This window comes from Homo sapiens, chromosome 1 (assembly GCF_000001405.40).
Source record: "Homo sapiens chromosome 1, GRCh38.p14 Primary Assembly".
NCBI classification, from domain to species: domain Eukaryota; kingdom Metazoa; phylum Chordata; class Mammalia; order Primates; family Hominidae; genus Homo; species Homo sapiens.
In genome coordinates, this window is record NC_000001.11 from 145,624,224 (window position 1) to 145,647,076 (window position 22,853).

At 38.3% G+C, this 22,853-nt stretch overlaps 1 protein-coding gene across 10 annotated transcripts in view, besides 2 other annotated features; it reads left to right on the plus strand.

Moving 5' to 3' along the window:
• The window catches only part of GPR89A (G protein-coupled receptor 89A), a 62,663-nt gene that overhangs the window by 16,236 nt on the left and 23,574 nt on the right, over positions 1-22,853 (plus strand). For 7 of the 10 annotated variants that reach the window (NR_036541.2, NM_001097613.3, XM_011509908.3 and 4 more), the window contains 4 exons: positions 6,464-6,584; positions 7,441-7,521; positions 19,646-19,755; positions 21,961-22,049. Coding sequence is in view for 8 of the 10 variants with exons in the window: in NM_001097613.3 (NP_001091082.2) it covers positions 6,464-6,584; positions 7,441-7,521; positions 19,646-19,755; positions 21,961-22,049 (401 nt within the window). In the remaining 2 variants the exon portion in view is untranslated. Of the gene's footprint in view, positions 1-6,463; positions 6,585-7,440; positions 7,522-19,645; positions 19,756-21,423; positions 21,521-21,960; positions 22,050-22,853 lie in introns of those variants that run through there. The other 3 variants (XR_007063066.1, XM_047428710.1, XM_017002150.3) reach the window with 3 other exon arrangements.
• Positions 770-1,268: an enhancer, noted in NCBI's record as "H3K4me1 hESC enhancer chr1:145809563-145810063 (GRCh37/hg19 assembly coordinates)". NCBI's record gives its function as "activates a minimal SCP1, AML or CMV promoter by ChIP-STARR-seq in primed H9 embryonic stem cells {active_cell/tissue: H9 hESC(primed)}" and the evidence as "EXISTENCE:reporter gene assay evidence [ECO:0000049][PMID:30033119]".
• Positions 21,677-21,889: a silencer, noted in NCBI's record as "fragment chr1:145788927-145789139 (GRCh37/hg19 assembly coordinates)". NCBI's record gives its function as "represses an EF-1alpha promoter that drives an FKBP-Casp9 reporter gene in an ReSE screen in HepG2 liver carcinoma cells {active_cell/tissue: HepG2}" and the evidence as "EXISTENCE:reporter gene assay evidence [ECO:0000049][PMID:32094911]".

The window sequence follows — 22,853 nt, forward strand, 5'->3', positions numbered from 1 at the left end:
GGAAAGGTGACATAAAACACCCACAATTAGTAGATAAAGAAAAGCTTTCCAAGAATCGGTGTCTCCCCTCTAACAAAAAAAGTTTATTTTAAAACAAGAAATTTGGCAGAGCCCTAATTTTTAAGCTAAAAACAATGAACAAAAGTACCTCAGCTAACAAGTCCTTCCAGAACTATTTCAGAAGTATGTATGAATCTATCTAAAAAGATTAGAGAATCTATCTAAAAAGATTAGAGAGCCCATCTGTAATAAATATACTACAGGTTTCATGCTGGAACCTTTTTAAAAAAATCTATATATATATACCTCTTTATTCACCATCCTGCCGTACCTATTACTAGGCTTCTTATTGCAGAAAACAGAATCTACTGTAACTAATTTAAAGCAGAAAGTGATTAATTATACAGTATCAGGCAATTTATAGACTTTCTAGGAAAGTAGGGATGCAAAGCTTAACTGCTATATAGTGAAGAGAAATACCCAACTATGCCACAATACTAAACTAGAAAACCTCACTGAAGTTATCACCTGCCACTCAGGGTCTATGACATCAGGGACCTCAGTCCCAGCTGTTTGAGCTCCTAAGTGCTATCACCACCCCTACATTGTTCATTTCTGCATCTGAGGCCTCACATGGGCCGGGTTTTTTGGTGAAACCTAGGTAATATTTAAAACCTTGGCCTCAAGGAAGTCTGAGAAGGGGCTTTTGGCTTTCTAAACTCTGTAGTACCAAAACAAATGCTGGAAAAGGATATTGGAATTAATGTTGAATGAGCCAGTGTCTATTATAGAATCTGCCATACCTCCCACACACCCTTCCATGTATACTGATTGCCTATAGCAGGAATTTCGGGAGAGAGGTTATGAGACTCTCCTGCAGTAAGATCAGAGGAGATATGCAGTTTTGAAAAGCATATGCAATACCATAAATAGTTGTGTATTTTTAAAATAAGAATAACTTTCAAAATTTCAAATAACGTTAAAGGCCGGAAAACTTAACATAACACCAGCCTGCCAAAAGCATTCAAACTCTTAGGTGGCGTATGAGACCTTTCATGACCTGGCTGCTGCTCTCTATACATGTTGCATTCTCCAGTCCTGTGAAATTATTTCAAGTTTCTTTTTTTTTTTCTTTTTGAGACAGGTCTCACTCTCACCCAGGCTGGAGTGCAGTGGCATGATCTTGGCTCACTGCAACCTCCGACTCCCAGGCTCAAGTGATCCTCCTACCTCAGCCTCCTGAGTAACGGGGACTATGGGCGCATGCCACCATACCCGGCTAATTTTGGTATTTTTTCATAGAGATGGGGTTTCTCCACGTTGCTCAGGATGGTCTCGAACTCCTGAGCTCAGGGGATCAACCCACCTCAGCTTCCCAAAGTGCTGGGATTACAAGTATGAGCCACCACACCCAGCCTCAAGTTTCTAGAGCTGTTCTATCAGCCTGGACAATCCTTCACCAACCCTGTCTACCTAGAAAATGCCTATTTATCCTTTCTAGATTCAACTCTTGTCAATTCCTTTAGGAAGATTTTCCTGGCCATCATTAGGAGATATTAATTGCTACCATCTCAAGGTATCTATATCATCTATAAAACTTAAAATTTCATGTTTCCTTTTCTAACTTCCTCATCAACCTATGGGCTCCCTGAGGTCAGAAAACTCCATGTTATTTGTCTTTGTATCCCCAGTGCCTAGTGTGGAAACTGACACATAACAAGTGTTTAATACGTGTTCTTTGAATCAGTGGATGGAAGAAAATTGAGTCTCTCCAAAGTGGTAGATGAGTTTACTACTTTAACACTCTGGATAGGAATTTAGGAAATGCTAATGTGATCAGCATGCCTATGTCAATGGTCAACAAAGGGAACGACTTGCACTAAAGAGTCCTGGTAGTATAGTTCTCATATAAACCTATTTCAAAGAAACCCACAGACAGACACATTTATCTGTGACGGTAGAAGTCAGAGAGAAGAGTTAGAAAAGGCCCCCAGGGCTGCTGACAGGGCAAATACAGTCTCACATGCACTACAAAGACCCGACTCTGACACCTTTCTCCAGCTTTCTCCTGTGTGCATTCAGCTCACATGACCAGTGCAGCCAGGCCGCACCAGAGGGAAGATGAAGGCCATTGTATCTATTGTCCTTTCATCCACCCCTTTTTCTAAATTCTATGGGATTACCCTGAAAAGGACACTGAGGGAGAAAGCTAGGGAGATAGTTTCAGTTTTATTCTTTCCATTGTACTCCAATAGGCATTACAGTTTTATGCCTGAATGTTCAGGTATCTTAATTTATTTAACCCTTTAAGATAAGTAAGGAGGAAGAAAAGTTTAGGTAGTAGCTGAGAAGCAACCAGCCTTACACTGCCTTCTTAGAGCTTTCCCAGGACTGTCCCAACAACCAGTATGGTTGTTTATTGCTGTGGTGACCACAAAAAAATGGGCTGGGCAGGTTGGCTCACCCCTATAATCCCAGCACTTTGGGAGGCCAAGGCAGGGATATCACTTGAGGCCAGGAGTTAGAGACCAGCCTGGCCAACATGGCAAAACCCCATCTGTACTAAAAATAGAAAAATTAGCCAGGCATGGTGGTGCATGCCTGTAATCCCAGCTACTCCCCGGAGGCCGGAGACACAAGAATTGCTTAAACCCAGGAGGCTGAGGTTGCAGTGAGCCGAGATCGTGCCACTCCCCTCCAGCCTGGGCGACAGAGCGAGACTCTACAAAAAAAAAAAAAAAGATAAGACCAATCCTTATGTAAAATGAAAAAAAGATAATCTGTAAAAGTACTTCTTGTGCGGTGTCTGAACCAACCTTGGAATGTCCTTAGTGGGAAAGAGTAAGAGAGATTACAAAAGACTGTAAGGAATCTGTGTGAGCAGGTGGCAAAGGTGAGATGATCTTCTGCTAGTCTCCTTATTCATCTGACTTTCCATGTATTAACTGCTAAATGGGGATAATGATGACTGACTCCTACTTCATAGAAATGCTGAGATTAAGTAAATAGTATCTACAAAGTACTTTAAACCAGAAAAAGATATGTAATAAAAGGACAAAGACACCATGTTAAAAGGAATAAAGGTAGAGGGGGAATTTTTTCAGTTTTTCAAATTTAATAGCCCATATTAATCTCTTGGATTTTTTATGTTACTGAGTGATATTATAGTCAACAAACATTTGTTGAACACCTCATATGTGCCAAGCAGTAAGGAAAACAAAGATCAATAAGAAATGATGTCTTCTTGTAAAGGGGTTGCAAATTCAAGAGGTATACGGCAAGTAGAATAACAGAATTTAGGTGAGGATTTATTCGTTCATTCAGCATTACACAAATATTTATTGAGCATCCACTTTATATAAATTAAGCACTGGAAATAAACCACAAACGAAACAAACTTGGTTTCTGCCCCCCTGAAATTGATAGTCTTGTGGGTGGAACTAGACAATAAAGAGGTAAATATATAAATAAATAATTGCCAATTGTGATCATTGTCATCAAGGAGTGAACAGGTTGCTGTGATAGAGAAAAATGCCGATAATGTAGTGCAAACAGTTAGATCCACCCTTTCTGAGACAGGGATATTTAAGCTGAGATTTAAAGGACAAGACCAAAGGAAGACCCAGCAAGAAGGCACAGGAGACATCATGTAAAGCCCTGAGGCAGAAAGACCTTGGTGTATTCAAGGAAAGGCAAGAGATAGAATGGAAAGTAATCGTATAGTGTATAGATTTTATTGTTAGGGTGATTATGTCATTTTCTAAGACAGGTAATGCAGAGGAAGGAACAAGTTGAGGGGAAAGATAATTTTAGTTTGGTATATGCTGAATTTGAGTTACTTATGCATATCCAGGTGATGTTAAATAAGCAATTGGATGTACAAATCAGGAGCTTAGGGAAAAGGTGTACATGTATCAGTCCTCATAGAGATGACTCCAGGAATCTAAACAACTAGAAATCATCAACTAAATGCCATTAGGTGAAGCTGGGGAAATTGGTGAGATCACCTAAGCAAAAAATGTGTATACTGAAATGAAAGTGAGAACTCTGGTCCAGACAGAGCAAGAAGTGACCAAGAAAAAGCAATTAGAGAAGTAAAAGGGAAAACCTAGGGAAATGGTGTTGTGGAAGCCAAGAAGATAAAATAATTTTAAACAAAAATGATTCAATGTCATAAAAGAGCCAATGAAACAAGGATTGGAAAATGTTGAATTTTGCAACCAGGGGAAAACTTATTACCATAGTGTCGTAGTGGTTAAAGCCCAGACTCTGGAGCTAGACTGCACTTGAATCCTGACTCTGCCCCTTTTATCTGTGTGGCCTTAACTAAGTTACTTAACCTCTCTGTGCCTCCATTTCTTCATCTGTAAAATTAGGTTTTCAATAATATCTACCTCATAGGATTGTTATGAGGGTTAAATGAATTAGAACATGTGAAATGCTTAGAACAGTGCCTAGTCATAGCAGGTGCTTGGTGAATATTACCTATTGCCATTACAATTACTAGTGAAAGTAATTTCATTCAATAAAGAAGAATGGGAAGAAAGCTGGATTGCAGTCAGTTAAGGAATGAACTGGAGGTGAAGAAAAGGTGACAATAACTATAAACTTCTTTTAAGAAGCCTGGCTATTAAGGAGGAAATAGATGGGGGTTGGTAACTAGACGTAAACTCGAAGCCAAGAACAGAATTTCTCTTAGAAAAGAGAATTGAAACTAAAGAGAAAGAACTAGCAAAGAAGGAAATATTGAATATACAAGAGAGAGGAGACAGATGATGGAACAAGACTCTGAAAGAGGTGGAAGGGATTGAATACAATCAAAAGTATGGTGACTGCTAGTTCCAAGATGGTGGCGTAGGGGCAAGCTGGCTTTGCTTACCCCCCTGGCAGAAAACCAAAAACAAATAGCACCAAGATTATCACTAGCAATATCCCAGAACTCACATATAAGGATGAGACAGTTCCCAGGGCCCAGAGAAGATCAGAAGCACAAGTGGAGAAGTCAGCTTTGGATGCTACTTTGTTCTAAGGGAGACAAGTTGGGAGGATGATTGCAGATGTATATTCAATGTTATAAAACAGCCCATAAAACAAAGATTGGAAAATGTTGAATTTTGCAACCAGGAGAAAATTCATGACCATAGTGTAGAGTGAAGGTAGTTTATGGCTAATAGCTATGTCTTTTATAATAAGGACATTGGCAAAGGAGAAGGACAAAGGTAGGAAAAATAAAGAGTAACTGCCGAAGACAATGGAGAGAGATGGCTGACCAAGGGCAAGATAAGGATTAGTCAATAGTGTGAGAGCTCTCTTAGGACTGGAGACCATACATTTGTAATGGCTCCAAAATCAGTACGCATTCTAGCAATTTGAGGCAGCAAAACATGGGCACAGGGAAGGCAGAGTGTTAGACTGATCCAGAGTTGGGAATTTGTAGGATTAGCGCTTCAGAAGGAAGATAGTAGGAGATTGAGGCTCCTGGTGAGAGAATTTGAAGCCAGCAAGCCTGGAGTCCAAGCTAGGTGAAGAATGGAGAAGCAGAAGACCAGAGGTTGCACTGACCTCTAAAACGAGTGTAGTGGAAATAGAAAGACTAGGAATGGAGGCCAGTAGTCAGAAAAGGAATATTGGAATTTTCAGTTTTGAAGCTGACAGAATTCCTGAATTATAGCTCTGGCATTTGACCATAGGAGTGGATGGCTGTAGTGAATTCTATCCTAGAAATAGAAAGTGAAAACCAGTTAAAACCATTCTTTTTCTGCAATGCCAAACTTACTGAGTTATTCTTCAGCATTGCTTTCTCTCATTTATCCCAAATACATCAACCAGCAGTATTTATTTTAACTGCTAAGTTGATTTTCAGCATTCTCACGTGATATGAAACAATTGATAATTAGGATACAATTTATAATCCGAAACTGATGTGTTTGCCTTTGAATTACTCATTCATCTATAAGTTTAGTCCTTTTATTAGATGAATTCTGTGTTTATTGGATGCAAAAAAGAATAAGACAAAAGCAAAAGAGTATCACCTTAGGGGAAATACATATATATCAAAGATAATTAGCACAAAGTAGTTCCTGCTATTTATACTTTTCCAGCAGATTTACTTTCTTAGTTTTTTTTTTTTTGGCCGATGCTTTTACTAAAAGTACTTTGCTTTGTTAGCATTCATGCTACCAAGAGTAAACAGTCAATGATTGTTATTTATAATTATTGTTGTTATTATTTTACTGCTATCACCCAATAAAAGAGATCACTCTGAAGCATATGGGACAGGAGGAAAATCAGTAAACTTTTAGTATATTTATTATAAATCATCTACACATTAATAATTAAAAGTTGGCTTGTATGAGTTAGTTATGTGTAATGGTTAATGTTTTAAATAATGTTTCCTTTTGCAGTACAGATGAGAGCCATTTTGTCTATATTACCTGGCATTAATGTGCCTTGATGTTTTTAGGGATCTTATCCATAGAACAGCTCATCAGCCGGGTTGGTGTGATTGGAGTGACTCTCATGGCTCTTCTTTCTGGATTTGGTGCTGTCAACTGCCCATACACTTACATGTCTTACTTCCTCAGGTAACAGAGCGCTTTGCATCCTTTCTTTTTTGCCCCATTACTTCTTGAATACATATGTCATATTATGCCACCATCTTTAAGATTATATATTAGATCTATGACACTGTCTTTTTATTCTTCTCTTCCTCTGTCCCTGTGGGCATTGACCTGGAAATCTTTCTAAATAAGTATTATCACTTGTACGGCTTGCCTTTATTATTTGTCCTACATTCATTTATTTTTTAAATGGCAAATTTCAATCTGACACTCCCCTCCCACTTTTTTAAAGGCACATTTCTAGTGACCAGCAGTATAAACCAACTCCAACTTCAGCAGTTCAGCTCCCCTCCTAGATATTAACAGAACAGTAGAAGACAATGCCAAGTTAAAAGTGTGCTTAAACATACATCCTAAATGTCACTGAGCTGAGATCATGCCACTGCACTCCAGCCTCGGCGACAGAGCTAGACTCTTTCATAAATAAATGACGGGTTGATGGGTGCAGCAAACCATCATGGCACGTGTATACCTATGTAACAAACCTGCATGTTCTACACATGTATCCGAGAACTTAAAGTATAATAAAAAATAAAATAAAAATATTTAAATATATATTTTATATATATATATAAATGTAACTGGATCAAAGCTAAGAAAAACTGTAAGAGAGCTGGGTGAATTCCATTTCCCTGAGATCCCAGAGGATTAGCTATAAGAAATGAGAGCAAAGGCATTTTAGTTTATTATGGTCATTTTACTATTTTCTAGAAAAAAGTAGTAGGTAACAGTTGAAGTCTATGTTTGTCTCCAGATACCCTGTATCATGCCCAAGAGTGGGACCCCAAAACATTTTGCTAGCAGTTTGTGCTTTTTGTAGGAATGTGACTGACACGGATATTCTAGCCCTGGAACGGCGACTGCTGCAAACCATGGATATGATCATAAGCAAAAAGAAAAGGTAAGATATCAACACTGTAATACATTTGGACTCTTACAATTTCTCAACAAGAAAATTTGACTGTGAATTGGTGCTGGCAGGGAATTTTATCTTATTCATTTTTACTATAAGGTAAAGTACCAGATTTAGTGTTGGCTGGACACAGTGGCTCACACCTGTGATCCCAGCACTTTGGGAGGCCACGACGGGGGGATCATTTGAGCCCAGAAGTTCGAGACTAGCCTGGGTAACATAGTGAGACCCCACCCCTTTAAAATAACAATAAAATTAAAAATATAAAAATTTTTTTAAAAAGATTTAGTGTTTTGTGTGAAAGAAAATTCAATCTCATTTCTTGAATTTAGATCATTCTCCTTAGATAAATTATTAGAATTTTTTTGTTTAATTTTTTAAATTGTAAATTGACAAATTATGGTTGTATGTATTTGTGGCATACAAAGTGGAATAATTAAATCAAGCTAATTAACATATCTATCACCTCACATGTTTATTTTTTTGTGGTGAAAACATTTGAAATTTACTCTCAGTGATTTTGAAATGTGCAATACATTATTATTTATTATATTCATCATGCTGTACAGTATGTTGCAAAGAAAAAAAACCTTATTCCTCCTTGTCTAACTGAAGCTTTGTACCCTTTGACCATCATCTCTCCATTCCTCCCACCCATCCAGCCTCTGGTAACCATCATTCTACCCTCTGCTTCTGTTGAGTTCACTGTTTTAGATTCCACATATAAGTGAGAACATGCAGTATTTGTCTTTCTGTGTCCAACTCATTTTGCTAGCATAGTGCTCTCCAGTTACATTCAAGTTGTCACAAATGAAAGAATTTCCTTCCTTAAGGCTGAATAGTATTCTGTTGTACATGTATGCCATATCTTTTTTATCCATTTTTCTGTTGCTGCACATATAGATTGATACCATAACTTGGCTATTGTAAATAATACTGCAGTGAACATAGGTGTACAGATATCTCTTTGACATTTTACTGATTTCAGATCTTTTGGGTAAATACTAAGAAGTGGGATTGCTGGATCATATGGCAATTCCATTTTCAGTTTTTTTAGGAACCTCCACACTATTTTCCATAGGGTTGTGCTAATTTATATTTCCACCAACAATGTAATAGGGTTTCCTTTTCTCAGCATCCACACCAATGTTCTTTATCTTTTGCCCCTTTGATAGTAGTCATTCTGACAGGTATGAGGTGATATCTCATTGTGTCTTAGTTTGCAATTCCTTAATGGCTAGTATGTTAAACATTGTTTGATATATCTGTTGGTCATGTGTATGCCTTCTTTTGAGAAATGTCTATTCAGGTTCCTTGCCCATTTAAAAATCAGGTTATTTGTTTTCTTTCTGTAGAATTGTTTGAGGTCCTTATGTATTTTGTATACTAACCCCTTATCAGACATATGGCTTGCAGATATTTTCTCCCAGTCCATAGGTTGTCTCTTCACTCTGTTAATTGTTTTCTTTGTTGTGCAGAAGCTTTTTATTTTGATGTAATCCCATTTGTCTATTTTTGCTTTAATTGCCTGCACTTTGGGGGTTAAATCTAAAAAGTTATTGCTCAGAGCATGATTTGTGTAGTTTTTCCCTGTTTTCTTCTAGTTTTATAGTTTCCAGGCTTAAGTCTTTAGTCCATTTTGAGTTAATCTTTATATATTAAGTGAGAGAAGGGTCCAAATTCATTCTTCTGCAGATGGATATTCAGTTTTCCCATCACCGTTTAGTGAAAAGACCGTCCTTTTCGCAGTGTGTACATGTGGCACCCTTGTCAAAAATCAATTGACCATACATGTGTGGGTTTATTTCTGGGTTCTTTATTCTGTTCCCTTGGTCAATGAGTTTGTGCTTATGCTTGTATCATGCTGTTTTAATTACTATTGCTTTGTAGTATAATATGAAATAAGATAGTATGATGCCTCCAGCTTTGTTCTTTTATTCATGATTGCCTTGGCAATTCAGTTTTTTGTGGTTCCATGTGTATTTTAGGATTATTTTTTCTATTTCTATGAAAAATGACGTTGGAATTTTGATAGGAATTACATTAAATCTATAGATTGCTTTAGGTAGTATGGATGTTTTAACAATACTAATGTTCAATGAACATTCCAAAAATGAAATCAAGAGAACCATCCCACTTAAAATAGCTACAAGAAAAAATACTTAGGGATAAATTTGACCAAGGGGGAAGAAAGACCTGGACACTGAAAACTATACAACATTAATAGAAGAAATTGAAGTCTACACAAATAAATGGAAAGATATCCCATGCTCATGGACTGGTGTATAATTTTTGTATTCAAAGAATGGAATATTGTCTATTGTGTTTTTTTTTTTTTTTTAAGACGGAGTCTCACTCTGTTGCCCAGGCTGGAGTGCAGTGACGTGATTTCAGCTCACTGCAGCCTCCACCTCCCAGGTTTAAGCAATTCTCCTGCCTCAGCCTCCCGAGTATCTGGGATTATAGGTGCGCACCACCACACCCAGCTTATTTTTGTATTTTTGGTAGAGACGGGGTTTCACCATGTTGGACCAGGCTGGTCTCAAACTCCTGACCTCAAGTGATCTGCCCACCTTGGCCTCCCAAAGTGCTGGGATTACAGGCGTGAGCCACCATGCCCAGCCTTATTGTCCTGAATTTTTTTAAGTCTATTTTCCTTAATTTTTTACAATCTTTTACATATCTGACTTAGATCTCAACTTCCTTCGTTCCAACTACTTAAAATCATTTAAGTCCTCTATATCATCTTTGTTATTTAAAAAGTACTTTTAAAATGTGTATTTTCAAGGTGGGATTTCATAGAAATCTATATCACAGTGTATAAAAGCATAGGCTCTGAAATCAGACTGTGTATGAATTTGAATCCTTGATCTAAAACTTAATGGTGTGACCTTGAACTAGTTACTTTATGTCTTTGTGCCTCATTTGTAAAATAGAGGTAATAATAATGAGTTAAGACTTAGAAAAACAAGTTAGAGCCCTTAGAACAATGACCCACATATAGCTAAGGACAACTACTGAAATTATTAATAGTCTCTACAGTACAATCATTTGCTTTTCATGCTTTGCCTTCATTTATTCATTCATAGATTCATTCACTTAATAATTTTAGAAAACCTAGTTTACGCCAGGCACTGTACTAGATGCTAGGGATAGAATGATGAACAAGATAATCATTTCTTACCTTCATGAAGCTTATTAGTCTACTCTCTTTATTAAAGTTATTATTACCCATAAGTAAATGGTAACAGGTTTTGAATTGCATGAGTATTTTCACATTTCATATTTCCTCCTTCAACACTTTTCTGTAGTAAGACCCATAGTCAAGTTAAAGAAGCCTTAATGTAAGAGATAACATTAGACATAAAGGCCAGGAGCAGTGGCTCACGCCTGTAATCCCAGCACTTTGGGAGGCCGAGTCGGGCAGATCACAAGGTCAGGAGATCAAGACCATCCTGGCTAATACGGTGAAACCCCATCTCTACTAAAGATACAAAAAAGTAGCCGGGCGTGGTGGTGGGCGCCTGTAGTCCCAGCTACTCGGGAGGCTGAGGCAGGAGAATGGTGTGAACCCAGGAGGCGGAGCTTGCGGTAAGCCCAGATCGCGCCACTGCACTCCAGCCTGGGTGATGGAGTGAGACTCCGTCTCAAAAAAGAAAAAAAAAGAATGATGAAGGCTCAGGTTCACTGACTAATTATTTGTCTCTATTTCTGCATGTCTTTACTAGGCTATTGAAGGTAGACACGTGTATAATTTATTTTATTTACATTTATTGTTTATTTTACATGAGTGTATATAAATGCAGATTTTAAAAAGTAGAGCAAGATTATTCAAAAGTGAAAGATTTATGTAAACAATACTATTTTGATTCCCAAGGCTATTCTCTTTCTCACTGTATTTCTTTTATTCATATAAAGAAATGAATATATAAAAGTGAAGTCATGACCGGGTACTCATGCCTGTAACCCTAACGCTTTGAGAGGCTGAGGTCATGAGTTCAAGACCAGCCTGGCCAACATGGCAAAACCCCATCTCTAGTAAAAATACAAAAATTATCTGGGCATAGTGGTGCATGCCTGTAATCCCAGCTACTTGGGAGGCTGAGGCAGGAAAATCGCTTGAACCCGGGAGGCAGAGGTTGCAGTGAGCCGAGATTACACCACTGCACTCCAGCCTGGGGGCAGAACGAGACTCTGTCTCAAAAAAAAAAAAAGTGAAGTCATGACCCTTGTCAAGTGTGTATACATACTTTTAAGCCATTTCATACTAATAGTGCTAAGGAATTGACTCTGATCTATACATACTATAGCCCATTTCCCCTATAATGCATTGTCTGGTCAGGATCAGGAATGGTTTGTGGTCCGACAGTAAGTTTTATTAATTTGAGTGGCTCACAGAAGAATCAGCCTCCCAACGTGACCCCGTTACCACAGTCCTTTACCCAGTGGAACTAACAGAGCAGATAGACAGCAAACATGACAACACTGGGGCCCTTGGGATTCATATAATGCCCTTGCCATTTACCACAATATAGAAAAACTGTTTTTGTTGTTTACAAGTGGTTTTACAAAATAAAATTTTTTTAATAAAAAAGAAAAACTGTTTTTGCAAACATTCATAGTTGGGGAGGAGTAGTGACCAGAAAACCATCTTTCACCTTAACAGTAGAGGGCCATAGTGAGATGACATACAAGAAAAGTAACATTTGTTATGTACAAAAAAGTTAATGGTTTAAAATGGGAGGAGGAAAGAGGCATACGTCTTCCTGTTTGGAACAGTGAAGGAAAAAATGTTAACCTCTACCTTGAATTAGTTTTCTAGGACCTCTTTGAAATTTTGTAGAGATAGGAGGAAGAAATATATTCACTAGTGAAATTTCAGCAATACCCACAGCCATTCTCAATAGAGGAAACTTCCAGAAATGACAGTGGAAAGAATTTAAGCAATTCTTTCTACAGAAAATCATAAAAACTGGAAAAAATATTAAAAGCAAGTATTTGAAGTTACTGGAAAATGAGCAGAGGCAGGTAGAAATTTGAGAAGAGCATCAGGTAACTATTGCAAGTTGATAGCTTTCTTGCCTGGAAGTGCCCCTTAGCCACCACCCCCCCTGCCAGCACCCACTCAAGTGTACAGATTGGTAAGAGTTTAAATCAGCTGAGTAACTGAACATTTAAAGGGGAAATTTTGGAAATGAGGGAAATGCAGAAGGACTAATATCCAAAATCTCAGTATAAACCCTTCCCAAATCTCTGTGTCATCATTAAATAATGTATTTCCACGGTAAACACCAAAGAGCCTGAGAAAAATAGGCAGAAACTGGAAGAGAGTCTATGCTTGATATACTGAACTGCTTCTTGGTGCGATTTGCAAGGTTGCTGTGCCTTTGATTGAGTGCATTTTCTGAGCTATGTGCAGGTTGAACACACAGTTTGGATGACAGAAAGTGAAAGCTTTTCTGGCTTGAGGTGTCAGAGGGTAGATCTCAGGACTGGCAAAGCAGTTGAAAATTTAGGAGAGATCCCTAGAAGCAAAAGATCCACAGAGAGGATAAGCCCTAAAATATGACTATAGAATTTGTCCAGACTACCACTACCCTACACAAGCTCAAGCTCAGCAGAGAATATCAGGGAGTTAGGCTAAAAAGGAGAAGCTAGAAACCAAGAAACTGAGCAGAAACATTAGCTGCTGCAGGTATGACAGATTTCACAGTTTAAGTAAATTAACTGCTTACTAGTACCAAAAAAATTAACAATTCTCAGAAAAACAAAACAGATTCCAAAGTCACTACAACATATTACCTTCAACCAAAACTTGCTAGACATGTAAAGAAACAAGACGATGTGACCAATGTTCAAGATAAAAAGCAGCCAATAGATACTAACTCCAAGTGGATCCAGATTACACATTTAACAAAGACTTGAAAGTAACCATTACAAATATATTCAAAAAAGTGAAGGAAAGCATGATACAAGTGAAAAGAGAGAATCCCAACAAAGAAATGGAAACTTTTAAAAAACAACAAAATAGAAATCCAAAGACTGAAAACTACAGTAACAGAAATAAAAATTTTACTAGGTGGGCTTAACAGGAGAATTGAGATGACAGAAGAATCAGATCCATAAAAATTCAGGCTGGGCATGGTGGCTCACGCCTGTAATCCCAGCACTTTGGGAGGCCGAGGTGGTTGGACACCTGAGATCAGGAGTTAGAGACCAGCCTGGCCAACATAGTGAAACCCTGTCTCTACCAAAAATACAAAACTTAGCTGGCCATGCTTTCACGTGCCTGTAGTGCCAGCTACTTGGGAAGCTGAGGTAGGAGAATCACTTGAACCCAGGAGGCAAGGTTGTAGTGAGCTGAGATCATGCCACTGCACTCCAGCTTGGGTGACAGAGCGAGACTGTCTCAAAACATAAAATAAAAATAAAAATTGAGATAGAGTAATAGAAATTATTTAATCTGAAGAATAGATAAAAGATTGAAGAAAAATGGCCAGGTAATCCCAGCACTTTGGGAGGCCAAGGCAGGCGGATCACTTGAGGCCTGGCCAACATGGCGAAACCCCGTCTCTACCAAAAATACAAAAAAAATTAGCTGGGCGTGGTGGTGGGAACCTGTAGTCCCAGCTACTCAGGAGATGGAGGCAGGAGAATGGCTTGAACCTGGGAGGCGGAAGTTGCAGTGAGCTGCAGTCACGCCTCTGCACCCCACCCCAGGTGACAGAGCGAGACTCTGTCTCAAAAAGAAGAAAAAAATAGTAAATATTTTTTTAAAAAAATATTGAAGAAAACTCAACAAAAGTCTCAGTAGGAGACAATATCAAGCAGTCCAACATTCTTGTGATTGGAGTTCTAAAGAAAAGGAAAGGGGCAGAAAAAGCATTGAAAGAAATACCAGCCCAAAACATAAGAAAACTACACCTATGTGTATATATAGTGAAACTGCTAAAAGGCAAAAGTAAAGAGAAAATCTTGAAAGCAACAAGGGGAAAATGATACATACAGGGCAACAATGGGAAAAAAAAAGTAATGGTTATTCAACAACATTGTAGAATACCAAATGAACATACAAAAATCAGTTGTAGCCAGGAGCAGTGGTGAATGCGCTTGACCAGCTACTCAAGAGGCTAAAGCGAGAGGATTGTTTGAGCCCAGGAGTTTGAGTGCAGCCTGAGAGCAAAGTAACAAGACCCCATCTTGAAAATCCAATTTTTTTAAATCAATTGTCTTTCTATAAGCTAGCAACGGACATATGAACATCAAATGTTTAAATACACTACTTACAATCACTCACAAAATGAAATACTTACATAGAAGTCTAACAAAACATGTATATAGGACTTGTTTGCTGAAAATTATAAAACTAATGAAAAAAATCAAATAAGATATAAATAAACCATGTTAATAGATTGGAAGACTTGAATAGTAATGATGTTAATTCTCCCCAAATTGGTATACAAATTTAATGTTATTCATTTCAAAATCCCAGCAAGATTTATTTGTAGATATACACAAAATTATTCTAAAATTTGTACAGAAAGGCAAAATAACTAGAATAGTTAATACAATTTTTAAAAAGAACAGTATGAGAGGAATTCCTCTACCTGATCTTTAAACATATTATATAGCTACAGTAATCAAGACTGTGGTACTGGTAGACATAGATCACTGGAACAGAAAAGAGAACCCAGAAATACCGACACATGGCCAGGCACAGTGGCTCACGTCTGTAATCCCAGCACTTTGGGAGGCTGAGGCAGGTAGATCACCTGAGGTCAGGAGTTTGAGACCATCCTGACCAATATGGCGAAACCCCGTCTCTACTAAAAATACAAAAATTAGCTGGACATGGTGGCATGCGCCTGTAGTCCCAGCTACTTGGGAGGTTGAGACAGAAGAATTGTTTGAATCCAGGAGGCAGAGGTTGCAGTGAGCTGAGATTGCTCCCCTGCCCTCCAGCCTGGGTGACAGAGCAAAACTCTGTCTCAAAAAAAAAAAAAAGAAAAGAAAAGAAATACTGACACAAATACACCCAGCTAATTTTTGACAAAGATGCAAAAGCAGTTCAGTGGAGGAAAGATAACCTTTCACCAAATGGTGCTAGAGCAATTAGGCGTCCATAGGTTTAAAAAATGAATCTAAATCTAAGTCTTACACCTTATATAAAATTAAAACACGCCGGGCGTGGTGGCTCATGCCTGTAATCCCAGCACTTTGGGAAGCCAAGGCGGACGGATCACTTAAGGTCAGGAGTTCAAGACTAGACCGGCGAACATGGTGAAACCCCGTCTCTACTAAAAATACAAAAAATTAGCCCGGTGTGGTGGCGGGCACCTGTAATCCCAGCTACTGGAGAGGCTGAGGCAGGAGAATTGCTGAACCCAGGAGGTGGAGGTTGCAGTGAGCCGAGATCCGCCATTGCCCTCCAGCCTGGGCAACAGAGCGAGACTCCGTCTCAAAAAAAAAAATTAAAACAGATAATAGACTAAAATGTAAAACTATAAAACTTTCAGAAAAAAAAAAAAGAATCTTTGGAATCAAGGGCTACACAAAAAGTTCTTTACTTGATACCAAAAATAAAATCCATGAAAGGAAAAAATGGATAAATTGGGCTCCATCAAAATTTAACACTTTCGCTCTGTAAAAGACTGTTAAGGCCCGGTGCGGTGGCTCACGCCTGTAATCCCAGCACTTTGGGAGGCCAGGGTGGGTGGATCACAAGGTCAGGAGTTCATGACCAGCCTGGCCAAGATGGTGAAACCCCGTCTCTACTAAAAATACAATAATTAGCCAGGCGTGGTGGCGGGCACCTGTAATCCCAACTACTCGGGAGGCTGAGGCAGGAAAATGGCTTGAACCTGGGAGGCAGAGGTTGCAGTGAGCCAAGATGGAGCCACTGTACTCTAGCCTGGGTGACAGAGCAAGACTCCTTACTTAAAAAAAAAAAAAAAAATACTGTTAAGAGGATGAAAAGATAAGCTACCCACTGGGAGAAAATATTTGCAAGCCACTTATTTGAGAAAGCACTAGTATCTAGAATAAAAAACATTCAAAGCTTACATTTAAAAAAAATGCAGTTAGAAAATAAGCAAAAATGATGAACATTTTATTGTAGAGGATATGCAAATGGCACATAACCACATGAAAAGGTGTTCAACATTGTTAGCCATTATGGACATGCCATTAAAACTACATCGAGATAATCACTACACACCTATCAGAATAGCTAAAATAAAAATTAGTGACAACACCAAATACTAATAAGAATGCAGAGCAACTGGATCACTCATACGTTGCTGGCATCCATGTAGAATGGTACAGTCCCTCTGGAACACAGTTTAGCTCTTTCTTTAAAAGCTAAACATGCCGTTACCACACCCCAACAATTGCACTCCTGGGCATTTATCCAGAGAAATGAAGATTTATATTCACACAAAAAAACTGTACTTGAATGTTTATGAAAATTACGCTGAGTGAAAAAGAATCCCCAAAGAATATATACCGTATGATTCTAGTTATATATACATTTTTGAAATGATAAAATTACAGAAATGGAGAACAGATTCGTGGTTGCCAGAATTAAGGAATTGGAGGTGGGAGGGAGGTAAGCTGTACAGGTGCACCCTGAAAGATCCTTGTAGTGATGGAAATGTCCCGTATTGTGACTCTATCAATGTCAGTATCCTGGTTGTACTAGAGTTTTGCAAGATATTTCAGTTGAGGAAATCTGGGTAAAGGGTACATGGAATCTCTGCATTTTTTCTCAAAACTACATTATGAATCTACAATTATTTCAAAAAGTTTAACTAAAAAAAAGTAATGGCTGACTTCCTACTAGAAACAACAGAGACCAGAAAATAGTTGACTGACATTTAAACCTCAGTAGACATTTTTTAGCTTCTTCTGTTGTGCACTACTACCAAACCTCAGCCAAGTGCATATGTTTTTCCATATTAGGAACTTTTAAATGACATTGGGCTAATAACAAATAGATAATTCCTTGTAAGCTACCCTTGTTATAAAGAGGCAATAGTGATGATGATAGTAAAGAAAAGTTGAAGATGAAGGTGATCTAATTCTATAGTACCTCATATGGTTGGGTGGTTTTTTCATTCCTATTCACGCTTCGGAAGGTTTAATATTGTTACCTTCTTAAATATATGATCATTTCTTTTTCATCTACAACTTATTTGATAAGAGCAAAATTGGTTTAGAATTAATAGATTCTTGATACAATTGAAAGTAAAAGTGAATTGTTTAAAACAAGGCCATGCTTGTCTATGTGCCTCTAACTTTCACTTCTAGTGATTACACTTCTTTGCCTATTATGAGACCACAGCACAGTGTCAATCACCTTTACATATTCAATCGATTCCACTCCACAGCCAGTCATTAGTGTTTGTTGTAGACACTGAAAATAAGGACAATAGAAATGAGCTCTGTGCTTCCTCTCTCACAACTGCCTCTTTTAATCCTGCATGTTAAGCTGAAATGAACTATTAAATGAGTGGAATAGAACCCTTGCCTTCTTTGTATATGTGTTCTAGCTTTTTCAACTATGAAAATATAAAAACCTAGAATTACTAAGCCTTAATCTTACAAGTCAGAATCTCCCTAGGTCTGAGCCTCTTCTTGGTTGTTTATTACATCTTCCCAAAATGGTGAGTGATAGTAGATGTGTAGTTAGAAGAAAGGCAGAAAGAGCTAAAAGAGCTGTGTTTCATTCACTCAGTATCCAGGCAAAGGTCATTTTCAAAAGGAAACAGTTAAGTCAACATGGCTGACATTCTTTCTTGTTAATATCATTTTAGCTAATGGCTCAAAAAATTTCACCCATAGAAATATCATTTGATCTTTGGTACCATTGGTACTATTTGTATTAGTCCCAGGCATAAATACCAATGCTGCTGCTTGCTCTTCACCATTTTTATCTTTTGCCTCCCAAAAATATCCACCTTGAGTTACATTTTTCTTTGGTCCTGCTACTCTATTTTTATTAGACTCATCCTAGTTCATTTTATGCCTGTAGGCCTTGGCCCATTAAACCCTTTAAATCAATTATGTACAAATGATATTTTATTTTGATCCTCACTAGGACCCTGTTGATACCTTTGTGGTGAGCTGGGACATGCCAGCAGCTACCACTGTACTAGTCGGTCCTCCACAGACTGAGAGGACCAGGAGTGGTAGGTTTCCTGTTGATTTATTCACCTGTAGGACAGATTGCAGAAGGTGAGGGTATTGGACTTAGAGACTGATATTTTAGAAGGGGACAGGTTTATGCAATTTTGCTATTTTTTTTCCTTTTGTCTGCCTTTGAAAAAGAAGGAAGAAAACATGTATTGCGTTCCAAACTCTGTATTTGGTCCTTTAGTTAGGTATGTTAGCTGGTTTTTTTTGTTTGTTTGTTTTTGTTTTGTTTTTGAGATGGAGTCTCACTCTGTCACCTGGGCTGGCGTGCAGTGGTGTGATCTCAGCTCACTGCAACCTCTGCCTCCTAGGTTCAAGCGATTCTCCTGCCTCAGCCTCCCAAGTAGCTGGGATTACAGACATGGGTCACCACGCCCAGCTAATTTTTGTATTTTTAGTAGAGATGGGGTTTCACCATGTTGCCCATGCTGGTCTTGAACTCCCAACCTCAGGTGATCCACCTGCCTCGGCCTCCCAAAGTGCTGGGATTACAGGAGTGAGCCACCACACCCAGCCAGGTATGTTAGCTGTTTTATTTTGTCTTTAAATGGTAACTGTAGTAATTAAACTATGTATAGCGCCTCATATGAACATGAATTCATATGTATTATTTCATTTATCTTCACAACCATCCAGAGATGAGGAGATGAAAACTCTAAGACCTCCCAGCTTCCAAATAGCAGAGCCAGTCCTCAAATTTATTGCCTAGCCCAAATTCTGTGCTTCTTCACCCAGGCCACATTGCTTCCACATAGTTTCCCTTCAGTTGTAAGTAGTAGAAAAGTAGGACTCCAGAATCAGTATCCTTACATAAACAGCTCAGTACATGAGAGGCAGTTGTGAGACTGGAAAATGGATGGGACTAGACTGTGAGGGTCCATGCTTGCTTGCTGAGGCTTTATATTTTCTTTCATTTCAGGATGGCAATGGCACGGAGAACAATGTTCCAGAAGGGGGAAGTGCATAACAAACCATCAGGTTTCTGGGGAATGATAAAAAGTGTTACCACTTCAGCATCAGGAAGTGAAAGTATCCTTTGTCCCTCTGCTTGATTCTTTTTCTCAACTCTGGACCAAGAGCAAAAGAAAAAAAGTAGTGTTGGGATAGTCCCTTCTAAGGTACCTGACTACATCAGAGTCCAAACTCCTAAGAGCTAGGCTTAGGAAATACCATGTGTACAGTCATCTTTCCAGCACCTGCACAATATCATAAAATCATTGTCTTTGAGCTGAAGTGGTCCTAAAAAGTCAGCCTTTCCATTTTACAGATGAGAAAATAGACCCAGAGAGGTTAAGTCACACGGTGGTTTGTGGCAAAGCTAGAAACATAACTGTGGTCTCCTCTTCATAGTTCTTTCCACTACACTATTACATTTCTCAACTCTGAAAAACCACCATAAAGCATAATGGCTACCTAAAATAAATGGCCCATTTCTAAAGTAATTAGTATTCCTAAACAAATTTTAAGTAGCTCTGCTTCTCCAGTGACATTTTGGTTTAAAGAATCAAGGGGAGGCTGGGTGCAGTGGCTCATCCCTGTAATCCCAGCACTTTGCAAGGCCGAGGTGGGCAGATCACTTGAACCCAGGAGTTCAAGACAAGCCTCGGCAACATGACAAAACCTCATCTCTACAAAAAATACAAAAATTAGCCAGGCCCAGTGGCATGTGCCTGTAATCCCAACTACTCAGGAGGCTGAGGTGGGAGGATTGTTTGAACTTGGGAGGCTGAGGTAGGAGTGAGCCCAGATCACGCCACTGCACTCCTGCCTAGGCAACAGAGCTAGACCCTGTCTCAAAATAAAAAAGAAAGGATAAAGGAGATTTGATTAATAGATTAATAAACTGTTCTTTCCTGATTGGTTATGATGTTGAACTACTTCCCAAATTATGTAACCAAATTTCTGTGTGGCTCTGGTGCTATTAGGTCAAAACTTTGGGGAACTAAGCATGAGATAGCATACTCCTGTTTCCTTCTCTGTCCCAGGGAAATACAAATTCCCTTTTGCCTCAATTAGAGAAGGATGTCTATTCTTGCTACAAATTATGATTTATGTCCTGGTGTCAAATGAAGATAAGAATAAGATCAAAGAAAGGCAAGATGATTGTGGAAGAGAAAGAAAAAGGATTAATTTAGATTTATTTAACCAAGAAACATTTATTTCGTATCTCCTATTTCCAGGCTGAGTGCTAAGAAATAAAATGATGAGTAGAGTATAGCCTTTCTCCTCAAGGAGCTTACCCTCTAATCATGGGAGAGACAGACATGTAACTAGTTAAACCATATTGTTTGGTGGCTTGAACCATGCCAGTAGTAGCCACTATTAAGGAAGGAACTGAAGGGCACTTACTGATTTGGGTAATAGTGGGAAAAATCAGAGAGGAGGGAGGATTTAGATTGAAGTATGTGCTTCTATTTTAGAAGGGGCTGTATTTACTATGTTTATTACTTAAAAGTTCATAAAAGCCAATAATACGGGTTTGAGCTGTGTTAGTAATGAGTTAACAAACATATCAGGATTATTTAACCTCCCTGAGCCCCTGTTCTCTAAATGGGAGAATAATAACTCTACCTGATTGAGTTCTTGGAAAATAACATAGTGTAATGGAAAGAGCAGGCTTTGGAGGAAAAGAGGATTTGACTTTGCATCTCTATCAATTAATTGTGTGACTTTGAGCAAGTTATTTAACTCTCTGAGCTTCACTTTCCTTATGTGCAAAATGGATAACACCATGGCATAAGACAATCCCATGAAGATAAGATATAAAAGAAGATAATGTTTGAAAAGAAAGAAGGTAATGTCTGTAAATCCTAGCCTATATTAGAACACAGTAAAGTATTAGTTCCCTTTTCTAACATTATATTCAGATAATGTAGGAGAAAGCTATGCTTTATTATAGTTATTATTCTGTAACTATTTACAATCTTGAACATTACATTTGACTTAATCTAACTAGTTAAATCAAAAAACAAATGAAACCATCTGTTTGAGCTGCTTAAGAGAAACTGAGTGGTAATTGTTTGGTGGCGATGCTCTTGATGGAGAAGCTTTTACACACCTGCGTCAGAGGTTGGGAAAGCTGCTCTGAAGTAGCGCTGCTGGCTATGAAACAGGAAATTGAGAATATAGGCAACTCCGGGAATCCACTGTAGGAAAAACCAAAAGTATATGCTTTCTCATTGCCATTTCTTGAATTCCTATGTGATTAAAACCTTGATGCCCATTCTGTGCCAGATCTTACTCTTATTCAACAGGAAGTGGATGCTTTGGAAGAATTAAGCAGGCAGCTTTTTCTGGAAACAGCTGATCTATATGCTACCAAGGTACAGAGCAAGGAAACTGAAGTGTGGTTTTTACCAATATTATTAAAGAGAGAACAAGACTAAATGGCTTTTTAGATTTCTCTGTGGCCAAGCAAGAGATACCTCACAGCTTCTATATCAGCCATGAAGCATTAGGGATAAGGGATCTTCACTCTTCATGAAATTGCTCCTGTCACTAGCAAAATCCTTAATGGAACACTCTCAAAAGTAGCAATTGGTGGGATAGTCAGAAGAGGCTTTTCAACATTTAGGAAGGTGGCACGTACCACCTCCTACTAACCTGGGATAAAGATGGTAGCTACTTTTATTCCTTTATAAGTTAGTAATATTATAAGAGCAGTAGACACCTATCTGCCATGGATGGCCTAGCCCTATTTTAAAGGATCCAGGTCAATAAGTGTCGAAACTGTAAGAAGTAACTTTCCTATGTACACCTAAAATAAAATATAATTTAAATGTGCAAAATCTGTTAGTGAAGATTACAAACTTTTAATTCTTTTTGAGGATAACTTTACAGGAGTAACCTTATAGGACAGAGGTTAACATAGGCTTTGGAAACAGATAAACCTGAGCCTACTCACCAGCTGTGTGACTTTGAGCAAGTTATCGAACCTCTCAAAGCCTCAATTTTCTCATCTGTAAAATTAAGATAATAGAACGTATCTCATAAGAATTGTTATGAAGATTAAGTGGATAATGCATGTAAGATGTTTATCCCAGTCTCTAGCTAAAAGCAAGCATTCAGTAAATGCTGGCCACAACTACTGTTATTAGTTTAATATTATTACAATGTATGGTTTTTTG